At 36.5% G+C, this 12,374-nt stretch overlaps 1 protein-coding gene across 5 annotated transcripts in view; it reads right to left on the reverse strand.

The window, feature by feature from the left end:
• WDPCP (WD repeat containing planar cell polarity effector) overlaps positions 1–12,374 on the reverse strand; it is a 721,268-nt gene that overhangs the window by 693,987 nt on the left and 14,907 nt on the right. For 3 of the 5 annotated variants that reach the window (XM_047444627.1, XM_047444626.1, XM_047444628.1), the window contains exon 2: positions 77–162. The exons of the other annotated variants lie outside the window; for them this stretch is intronic. The gene's annotated coding sequence lies outside the window, so the exon portion shown is untranslated. The remainder of the gene's footprint in view (positions 1–76; positions 163–12,374) is intronic. 5 annotated transcript variants of the gene reach the window in all.

Here is a 12,374-nt window from a genome sequence, read left to right on the forward strand (position 1 = left end):
CCATGTCTTTGCTGATGCTGTTCACTTTGAATGAAATGCAATTCCCCCTCATCAAATTTATAAAAATCCTACTCACCTTTTAAAAATGTCAATATGCTCTGTTAGAATGTGGGCTCCCTTGAGGGCAGGGCACTTTGTTTTGTCCACAGATGTCTCAAAAACCTAGAACAGTGTGTGGAATATAACAGGTACTCGATAAATATTTATTGAATGAATGGATAAATGTCTTATATAAAGCCATTCCTTATTCTCTCTCCAGTCACAGAATAAATACTAACATATTCCATATCATAGATACGTTTGCAGATAAATATTAATATGTTTGATAATAAATACTAATATGTTTGCTGATAAATACTAATATGTTTTCTAATAAATACCAATGTATTCCATATCATAGATATGTTTGCTGATAAATTCCATATCATAAATGTTTGCTGATAACTAGTAGTACAACTAAGAACTTCTGTTTCTGAACAAATGAGGAAAAGAAAATATAAATTTGATAGGAAAGATAACAAAGGGGTGGATGTATACCTGGAACATTAGCTCTGTTTAAGAGTATAGATCACTTAACATATAGTTACCAAACACCTAGTGTATGCAATATGTGACTGGTTACCCAAAAGTTATTCCCAACCCCTTCTTCCTTGCCTCCCTCTAATTACAGAGATCAAAGTAAACAATTATTTTCCCAGCCTCCTTTATAGCTAGAGATAGTCATGTGACACATTCTGGTCATTGAAATGCAAGGGGAAATCTACTCAATGGATGATTCGAAAAAAAAATATGTCTTTCCTGGTTTGAAAAAAAAAAAGCAGAAAGATCTGTCCAGTCATATCTCCTGCTTCCTACATTTGAAAATTTTGGTGCTTGGAGCTTTTGCATTCATCTTGTGACTATGAAGAGAAGGCAAAGGAAATCACAGAGATACCAATCCAGAGCCCTCACATTAAGCCACTACACCAATGCCAGAAGGCACCTAACTCTTGTTGTTAGACAAACTCCTCTAGTTTAAGATCTGTTAGTCTGTTATTCTGTTACTTATAGTTGAAAATATTCCTGAACTAGTGGAAGATATCTTAGAAATCCTGGCTAATAATATTATCTGGTTAATAATGCCACACACGAAATGACTTTAAAATGCCTATTTGATTTTAAATTGTGTTTTTGAAAACAGCACTATGTGTCTTTAAATATATTTATCATAAGTTACACTATCTACATGTGGCTGTGTTATCATAGTCTTCACTGTCTTTTCTGTTACACCTCATCCTGTGGATAATTGGGTCAAAAATGAAGAAAATATGGTTTCAATAGGATATGTTTGTCAACTCTGATTTCAGAGGTAGAACTATTACAACCAAAAGGGAAATGAAAGGAACAGAATAAACTTCCAAATTTATTTACCTAGAAGTTTCAAAGTAATTCTATTCCAAATAATGAAACTGTATCTATACTTTTCTAAAACAGTTAAATGAGATTTTCGATTTATAGACATTGCAAAAGACTGGAGTGGTAATGACAAAGCACATTACATAATTCTGTGCCCATTAAAAAAAACTCCAAACCATTTACAAGACCATGTTTTAAAGCTGTCTAAAAAGTATAATGAGAACTCTACACTTTTCTCTGTTAGATTTGCCAAGTGTCAACAGGGACTGAGAAGTGTTTTAAATTGCTTTTATAAATGAGTAGTGAAGCCACTCACCAGTTCCTAGAATTTTGAACAAAGGGAACAAATATTCAATAAGAAACCACCAGCGTAATAAATAATAATCAGAGACTTTCTAGTGGATTAAAAAAAGGAATCATTCATTAAAACTATTTCTAAAAATTTCATTAGCTGGAATTGTTCTACATTAGTGGAATTACTCTACTACGAAATAAGATACTCTTTTCCTTATTTTTTATTAACAGGTACTATTTAGTCAGGAAACACTTGTAAGATTAAGAAAGCATTGAGCTGGGCCTAGAGTTGTGAGATACATAGACAAATGAGACCTAGTTCTTGCTCTCTAAGAAGCTTTCATTGCAAAGTGACATTCAGACACATACTCTTAAATACAGCTGGAGAGTCTCCACACCACGGACCAGTAGTATAGTTGGCCTATCAGAATCTAAGGGTGGGAGGGCAGCCCAGATGAATGGCTTTATTTGGTTGTTTATTAAGGAGCTGCATTTAAATTCCAAAACAGTGGAAGGTCAGTATTAGTCATTCCCATATGAGATAAATGTATCAAATTTAGCCTAGGTGATAGCTGCAAGTACTAATAAAGTATCGTAACAAAACAAAAGACACAATGGAGTCAAACTGTCTTTGTTTTGTTGTTGTTGTTGTTTATTTTTTGCTTTTTTTTTTCACTTTAATCAGGTACTCCTGATATTTTAATGAGTTAAAGGCACTGCCTCATGGAACTTGTTCATTTCTTGATATTATCTTGAGAAACAAAAATGAAGATAGTAGAATTCTGTATCTTGTCTCTTGGCATTATTATGTTTTCAGTTGTACAAAATATCTAAGTCAGATGTATACAGGTTGAACAATTCTTACAGAAATTCCTGCCAAAATTAAAAATATTATGGGTAATTATCACTAAAAAGAAAATTAATCACATTTTATATTAAGATAATTAAAACTGGAATTCAAAAACTGTGAGGCTGAAAACAAATCTACAAAAAGCCTGGTATGGTATGACTCATAGCGGCTTTATTTATAATAACAACAAAAAAGAAATACTTCAGATGTATATTATTAGGTGACTTGACAAACTGTGATATTATAGTAGGTTAAATAGTGACCCCCTAAAAGATTCCACCCAGAAACTGTGAATGTGCCTATATTTGGGAAAAGGATTTTTGCAGATGAAATTAAGGATCTTGAGATGAGATCAATGACACTGTCCATATAAGAGACAGAAGATAAGAAAGACACAGAGACACAGGGAGAAAGGCCATATAAAGACAGAGGCAGAGACTGGAGTTATGCTGCCACAAACCAAGGAATATCTGGAGCCACCAGAAGCTGGAAGAAGAAAGGAAGGATTATCCCCTAGAGTCTTCAGAGGGAGCACAGCCCTGCCAACACCCTGATTTTGGGCTTCTGGCCTCCAGAGCTATGAGAGAATAACCTTTTGTTGTTTTAAGCCACCACGTTTGTAGTCATTTGTTAAGGCAGCCCTAGGAAACTAATACAGGGATATTCCTAAAAATGTGGTATATTCATAAAATGGAATGCTATTCAGTAATAAAAGGAATGAACTACTGACACCCTCAACAACATGGATGACTCTCACAAACAAGTTGAGTAAAAGAAGCCATACACTCAGACGTGCACTGTGTAATTTTATTTATATGAAGTTCAAGAACAGGCTAAATTATTCTATGAGAATAGAAATCAGAACAGTGGTTAACCTCTGGGGGCAGGGGTAAGGACTGATGGGAAAGAGGCATGAAAGCAATTTCTGGGGCAATGGAAATATTCTATATCTTGATTAGGACGGTGGGGTTACACAGGCGAATAGTTTGTCAAAAACTCATCAGACACTGCACTCAAGAGCTGCTACATTTTTTTTTTTTTTTGAGTCAGAGTCTCGCTCTGTCACCCAGGCTGAAGTGCAATGGTGCAATCTTGGCTCAGCGCCACCTCTGCTTCCTAGGTTCAAGCAATTCTTCTGCCTCAGCCTCCTGAGCAGCTGGGATTACAGGTGTCCATCACCAAGCCCAGCTAATTGTTGTCTTTTTAGTAGAGATGGGGTTTCGCCATGTTGGCCAGGCTGGTCTCGAACTCCTGACCTCATGATCCACCTGTCTTGGCCTCCCAAAGTGCTGAGATTACAGGAGTGAGCCACCGCACCCAGCCAAGCTACTACATTTTATTGACTGTAAATTACAACTTAATTTTTAAAAACTAAGGAATAAACCAAAACAACAAACAGCAATGAGGACTGAAATTACACATTAAGGTAGGGGTTGACAAACTATAGTCCATGGGTTAAATCTTGCCTGCCACCAATAAAATTTTATTGGAACACAGCCAGACCCAATCATTTACATATTGTCTATGGCTGCTTTCACTCTACAAAGGCAGAGTTCAGTAGCTGTGACAGAGACCAGACAGTCTGCAAAGCTGAAAATATTTATTATCCGTCCCTTTACAAAAAAAAGTTTGCCAACCTCTCTACTAAAGTTATAGTCTGTAAGATGACAGCAAGAGTGAGGGGGAAAAATTATAGTCTGTGACTACATTTATAACTATAGAAGCCTCTTCTTGCTCTAACATTCTGTGATTCTCATTATATTTAATGGTATGAATCAGAGATGTCTGTTAAGACACTTGAAATGTCTTTACCGTAGGGCACTTAGGTGAGATTTTCAGCTAAATATTACAATTCTTAGTTATTCCATTTTTTTCTTTCACTTGCCATTTTTAGCAAAATTAATAGTTCACTATTGTACTATCAAAAGTCATCACATTTTATCCATAAATGCATTAACTTATATGGCCTCATCTGTGAGATATGCTAGGCACACAACAGTTCATTACAGAGTAATGAAAGAGAATTGGCGAGTAATGAAAGAGAATTGGCAACCAATGGGGCCAGGGCTGACAGAACCAACTAGCAGCCTAAGCAATCCCAAGGCACTATGCAGAGCATAATAAGGGCCTAGCACACTTGGTTGTATTCTTGCAGACATAATTATTAAAAGGATCTAAGCTGATGGTCTAGGGACTCTGGTGTAGGAGTAACTGAACTTAGAAAGTCAAAGCTATCAGCCAGAAAGGGCTTTCCGTTGCCTTTAGAATAAAAACCACAATCCTTAAAATGGTCACCAATGCCTTGAATAATGTCAACACATAATCAGTGTTGACCTTCAGAAAAATTACTCTGCCAGCTGTCAGAGAGAGCCTGGAGATGAGGAGAACAGTTAGGGGTCACTGGGATAATTTAATTACTAAGAAAACATATACTGAATTCTTGAATTAGGAGAGTGACAGTGGGAACAAAGAAATGAATTCCAGGATAAAGAAAATGTTTATGACCCACTGAATGCATCACTACTTAGCAATGAAAATGATCTATGGCTACATACAACACGGATGCATTCACAAACATTATATTGAGCAAAAGAAGCAGGATACAAAAGAATATAAAAAGTATGATTCCTTTCACATAAGGTGCTAAACAGGGGAAAAAACCCACCAAACTATGTTGCTTGAGAATCCTTATAGAGGTGATTTAGTAAGAAAAAGTGATTAAACAATTATCACAAGGGTCAAATTAATGGTTACTTCCAGGAGGAAGAGAAAGGCATATATGAGCTTCTGGGGCTGCAATGTTCTATTTTGCCCTAAGTGGTGGCGATTATATGGGTGCTGGCTGTGTAACAATAACACATATAAATATACATAAATACAAACGTCTCTTGATATATATTTACTATAAATAGATGTATACACACATATATATAATATACACACATAGATATATGCACTCTTATATATGTTTTCTCCATATATCACAGTTTAAATCAAGGTTTTAAAAAAGATTGTACAGAAACAGCTGAGGTACACTTAATTATGACTTAATTAGGATATGGAGGGCAAAGCAGCTCTGGGTTCAAATCTTGGTTATTTATTAGTAGTGTGACCTTGAACAAGTTATTTAACCTGTCTAAGCCTCAATTTTTATCAGGGGAACTAACAGGGCTGTTATTAGGATTAAAATTTTGATCTGTCTGATTATTTTTCTGTGACCTTTTCTGATTGATCAGCTGAGGGATCTCCCTCAATTTACTAAAGTTATTACCTGCATTGTTATTTCCTGTGCTTTACTAATGGCTGTGAGTTCCTCAGCACGTTTACAGGTCAGGTGGCTTGGGTTTCCCTAATAGTCATAAACCAGCAGGTGGAGGATATTAAGCTTTCTGCTCTGCAAGCCCAGTGGTTCTCAAACATGAGTGTTTATCACAATCTCCTGGAGGACTTGTATTAAAATACAGCTTGCTGGGCTCCACTTTCGGAGTTTTAATTCATAGACATGCAGTAAGACATGAGAATTTGCATTTATTTAACAAGTTCTAGTAAGTTCCCGGGTGATACTGTTGCTTCTGGTCCAGGCACAGTATTTCTAGAACCTCTATTCTAGCCCAATGTCAGAAAAGTTGGTAAACTGGGTCCCCTTCACTTAAAAGAGAGAGGAAGGAGCTTCTTTGCTCTCAGGCTCTCCAAGTACAAAGGAGACAGTTTTCACAGACACTTGGCAAGAGAGTGACTCTATCTACCTATGCAGGCCCCCTTTTCCTCTTAGACAGGGGTCAGCCTTCCTGAGCTACAGACTTCATATGTCGCTCATTTACCCTCTCCTATGAGAGCTCACAGATTTTCTCAGAAGCATGGATTACTTCCAAGGGACTCTGGCAGTTGCTTTTAGTCCCTGAGTTGCTCCAGTAAGGAACTGTGGGAAGAGAGAGATCAGGAACATGTGTTCATTTTCTTCCCAAAAACTTCTTCTGTGAGAATTAAGGGAGATAAAAGCATGATGTCTGGGACATTAAGAGTACTTAATAAATGTTACTGTCATTGTTATGACTTCAACTTTTTTGAAGTGGATGTTTGCAAAGATGGTTGCATCATAACAGAAACAGTACATGAGATGAACAGGTTTGTCAGGAAAATGAATAGTTTAGTTAGGAACATTTTAATGTTTATAAATTTTATATTTATTTTCATATTGATAAATTTTTGTATCATGGCTCTAAGGTTAAAGTTGAGGAATTTTATAAAACAGACCAGATTAGTAATCTGAGAGACAGAGGAGACAACAGAAAGCTTGTGGAGCTTCTTTTGGGAAATAGTGATGCAACCCAGTTTGAGACCTAACTAGCTAGAGGATAACACAAATGCTAGCAGCTGGCTGGCTCACAGAGACTCGTTTTTGAGAGCAGGCAGTAAGCACATGTTAAGCTTGTGATGTACTTTGGCAGACAGTCTTGACAAACCTATCTCATTCTTTAAACACATGGTTCCAAAGTTGCTAAGCAAAGTTCAGTCTGAACCTTGACTTTGCCTCCCTTAGAAGCGGGGGCTTGTATATTTTGCAATGCCTCATTAAATATTTCCGCATTTTGGTCTCTGCAAAAAAACGTGTGTTCTTTTTAGGAAACGGTGGTTTTTTGGGGACAAACTTAATATTTGTATCTTAGTTATCCATACCAATATTATTTCTATGCTTTATACGCTTTCAAATTACTCTGAGGCATTTACCTAGGTTCTAGGAATTACACAAACCTTAAAGTAAAAAAAACAACAAACAAAAATCCCATATAAATTTAACTTAAATTTATTAAAAACTATAGTATATATACTTATTTCTAAAACTTTAGCAACCATTTTGTGGTTTGTTTTTTAAAGCCAAATTATGAGACTATAGCTTTTGAAAATCTACATAGTCAATATTCTTAGAAGTGAAAATGCAATTATAAATTCATTCCACATGATTCAGTTACATTTAATTCGACATGTGACTAGTAGGTACTGGAGACACAGACATGAATAAATGATGATGTCCTTGTCCTTGAGGAGTTCACAGTTCTTCTGACCATGTGTTTGACTATTTGTTTCCATGTCTCTCTCACCCACTAGACTATGATTTGTCTAGTCCCTAGAGGAGGAGGTGACTGACTCTGCCAGGGAGTCTGAACTTGGAGGTGTCATTAAGAAGGTGAACTCTGGGTTGGCTCTTGAAGGATACTAAGATTTGGGGTGAGGAAGTAGGGAGAGAAGGGCAGGACAATCTAAATGGAAATAACAGAATAAGTGCAAAAGCACTGACATGGAAAATAATTGTTAAGATTTACAAGTATCACTGCGTGGCTACAGCTCCTGTGTTCCTTTGAGTGTAGTACAAATGAGGAGGGTAGAGTTAGGTGAGACCAGATAGTGAAAGGTTCTTTTTCTCATCTAAGGAGTTTTGATTTTACCTGTAGGTGGCTGGGAGACGTGGAAGCTTTGTAAGCAGCAGAGTGACAAGATCAGATTTGTGTTTTGACAACAACTTCAGTGTCAACAGTACAGAGAGTGGACCATGGTGAACTACCTCAGACAAAAATCTAGTTAGGATGTGGTCACAACAGGCCGTCTATTGCTGTTTCCAATGTTTGACTCAATATTAGTCTCAAATTCTATTTTAAAATTGTTACATAAAATGATAACAGTCAGTGAAAATGAGCTAAAACTATAGGCCCTACTCAAAGGCTTAAAGCTCAAAATTGAGGATATCAAAGGATTTCAGAAAAAAATACACACACAAACGCACACTTAAGGTATGAAGTTAAGTAGTAAGGATAGGTTTTCAGCACCTTTTCAGTCACTCAGCTAATTAACATAAGACTAAAATATGAACCACCTCTGTGTGAGGGAAGAGGGATTACGATTGTTGAGATATACTGTGAAACAATTCAATGTTTTATTAAAGAAAATAGAAAAGAGATGGGGTTTGTGAATCAATCAATCTGAACTTCAAAGGGAAAATATGGGGAATAATATTAATAGTTACTCCCAGTTTTTTAAAATTATTCCCTGTTTTTTATCTCTGTTTTTAAAATTATTATGTAAAATGACTGTTTTGTTTTATGTAACAATTTTAAAATAGAATTTGAGACTAATATTGAGTCAAACACTGGAAATAGCAATAGACGGCCTGTTGTGACCGCATCCTAACTAGACTTTTTGTCTGAGGTAGTTCACCATGGTCCACTCTCTGTACTGTTGACACTGAAGTTGTCAAAACACAAAGCACTGGCCAATATGTTACCTATTTATTATGACATAATTAAAAGAAATTAGAGTTTGTAGAATTTTTATATTAAAATTCAGCTTTGGAGATTTATTTTAAAACTTTCAAAGTATCAGTTTGCACACACTAAATTTGGATTTTACTTTATTATATGAATAACATATAACTCACAGATTTGAAAAAGTCAAACAGTAATTAAAAGTAGCTCTTATTTTTTACACAGATCTCAAAATATGAGTGACAGAGGAAAGTATTCAGTCAGCTGAGCACAGTGGCTCACACCTATAATCCCAGCACCTTAGGGGGCCAAGGTGGGAGGACTGCTTGTGGCCGAAAGTTTGTGACCCGCCTGGGCAACATAGCAAGACCCTGTCTCTAAAAGAAAATTTTTAATTGGCTGGGTGTGGTGGCACGCAGTGGTAGTCTTAGCTACTCAGGAGGCTGAAGTGGGAGGATTGCTTGAGCCAACTGCATTTCAGCTTGGGCAACAGAGTGAGACCTTGTCTCTAAATATATATATATATTTGATATATATATTTGGTATATATATATTCATTTATTTGATCAGATCTGCTTCTGTTATTATTAACCTATCTTGGTGTCTGTAAAAATACAAAACACCCATTGACAAATTTAATTAAATCTTTGAAAAAATGGCACAACAAATAACTCATCAGAAAAACTCTGATACCAAGTTTTTTGTCTTAAACATTGAACCAAATCCCAAATCTCACTTAAAATGTCTTGTTTTTGTTTTTTTCCTCACTTTCATTTTGTAAAATTTCAAGCCTACTTTACTGTTTGTAAATTATACCTCAATTTAAAAAATTTCATTTAGGAACAAAAAGTTTCACCCAAAAAAAAAAAAAAACAAAAAACTTTGGCCAGGCGCAGTAGCTCACGTCTGTAATCCCAGCACTTTGGGAGGCCAAGGTGGACAGATCATGAGATCAGGAGTTCAAGACCAGCCTGGTCAATACGGTGATACCCCGTCTCTACTAAAAATACAAAAATTAGCCAAGCGTGGTTGCACGCACCTGTAGTCCCAGCTACTCAGGAGGCTGAGGCAGAACTGCTTGAACCTGGGAGGCAGGGGTTGTAGTCAGCTGAGATTGCACCACTGCACTCCAGCCTGGGTGACAGAGCAAGACTCCATCTCAAAAACAAAAACAAACAAACAAAAAAAACTTTTCCAACCTACATAAAAGATAGAAGATAGTACAGTGAATACTAGAATCACTAGAGTAACATTTTGTTGTTTGTTTTCTCTCTGTCTCTTTTTCCAGAACCAAATGAAATTAAGTTGCAAACATCATAGACATCATCACACTCTCCCCCTAAATACACTCTCCCCCTAAATACACCAGTAACCTTTAAGGGATATTTTGATAACCAAATTTTGTTATACTCAATGGAATCTTTCAAAAGCCACCATGAAACAAAGAAACAGATAAATGTGAACTGTAGAATGGATACAGTGAAATAAAGACTTCATTATATTTGGTCAAAAATGATACTGGAAAAGCACAACAAAATAGTGGGAAATGGGCTGGGCATGGTGGCACATGCCTGGTAATCTCAGCACTTTGGGAGGCTAAGGCAGGAGGGTTGCTTGAGCCCAGGGGTTTGAGACCAGCCTGAGCAACATAGGGAGACCCCTGTTGATATTGTTTGGCTCTGTGTCCCCTCTCAAATCTCATCTTGAATTGTAATCCCCTTAATTCTCACATGTCAAGGGAGGGAACTGGTGAGAGGTGACTGGATCATAGGGGTAGTTTCCCCCATGCCGTTCTCATGATAGTGAGTTTTCATGAGATCTGATGGTTTTATAAGTGTTTGACAGTTCCTCCTCCACATCTTCTCTTTCTCCTGCCACCATGTAAGACATGCCTGCTTCCTCTTCTACCATGATTTTAAGTTTCCTGAGGACTCCCCAGCCACGTGGAACTGTGAATCAATTAAACTTCTTTTCTTTATAAATTACCCAATCTCAGGCAGTTCTTACAGTAGTATAAAAATGCACTAATGCACCTATCTCTACAAAAAAAAAAAAAATTAGCCAGGCATGGTGGCCCATACCCATGGTCCCAGCTACTTGGGAAGCTGAAGTGGGAGATCTGCTTGCGCCCAGGAGGTCCAGGCTGCTGTAAGCTGTGATCACGCCACTGCACTCCAGCCTGGGCGACCATGTTTCAAAAAAAAAAAAAAAAAAAAAAAAAACAGGAAAAGGAAGGGTTGTTCAATAAAATGCCAGGATAATTAGCCATTTTTTAAAAGAATCAATCAAATCTTTATCTTATACTGTATGCCAAATTAAAATATATTATAAATTATAGGTTAAAAATCTTAAATCTTACCATTAAAAGAGAAAATAATAGTTTGGTCATTTGTGTATCTCTTTTTGTATTTACAGTTTTCTTCAATTGATATAAGGTTTTTGTACAATATAAATGAGAATCAAATAGATGAGAAAAAGAGAGTAAAGGGAAAAATAAATGAATAATCTTTGGTTAGGTAAAACTTTTAGTCTTAGACACAATGGTGAACTAGCAAAGGAAAATACGTATTTTACAATATAACAGTTAATAATTGACATTTTCACATAATAAAAACGTGAAAGCTGAAAGCAAATTGGGCAAATATTTGTGAAAGGTATTATAATACAAAAAGCTCATATAAATCCTTAAGAAATCTTTAAGACCTTAATAAATTTGGGCGCGAGATAAATTTTTAAAATTACAAAAGAAAGGGTGAATGACTTAGAAACATTTGAAAAAATTTCAGTCTCACTAATAAATGCCGGTGAATACAGTTTTTTTCTTTTTTGCCTACTAGGAAAGTTTTTGCTTTGCTTAATTTAATACATATCCTCAGAATCAGGAGTCAAGAATACTGTGAAAAGGCCACTCTGCCTCGCTAGTGGGTAATATTTGGCAATATATATTAAAAGGCTCTTATCTTCTGACTTAGCACAGTTCTCAGTATTCATTACGGTGATATCTTGCTGAGTGGAAATAATGTTTTATATAGGCTTTTTGTTGTTGCTATTGTTCAAGGATTGGGAGTCCTATTCAAGCTTCATAGGATAATATGAGGTTTAGTGTTAGAACCCATGAGACCTGGGAAGCACCTCGAGCCAAAAGAGTTCTAGGGATCAGCTGCTCTCTCTTTCTCTGATGGCATCTCCAATTCTCTCTGCAAGTCTGTCCCACTCTCTATTCTCTGCTAACAAACTACATTCTTCTGCTTGTACATGGTTTCTGATTTTATACATCCAGTGCAGATTAGCAGGGGGTTCTGTTCATCATCACCCAGGAATTGAGGTTGATGGAGACTCCATCTCAAAAGTGAACTTTAATCATGTGACAGGGGAAAGGAAACAGAGAATTGTGCACTGACACTTGTTCTTAAAATGTCTGCCCCATAATGATACCTATTACTGCTGCTCACATTTCACTGGCCAAAGCAAGGCACATGGCTACAACTAACTCCAAAGAAGACAAGGAAGAGCAATCTTACCAAATATCCAGGAGGAGAATTGGAATATTTGTGAACAGTCCTTATGATTTCCTTATC

The sequence above is a fragment of the Homo sapiens genome, chromosome 2, assembly GCF_000001405.40.
Source record: "Homo sapiens chromosome 2, GRCh38.p14 Primary Assembly".
Classification (NCBI taxonomy): Eukaryota; Metazoa; Chordata; class Mammalia; order Primates; family Hominidae; genus Homo; species Homo sapiens.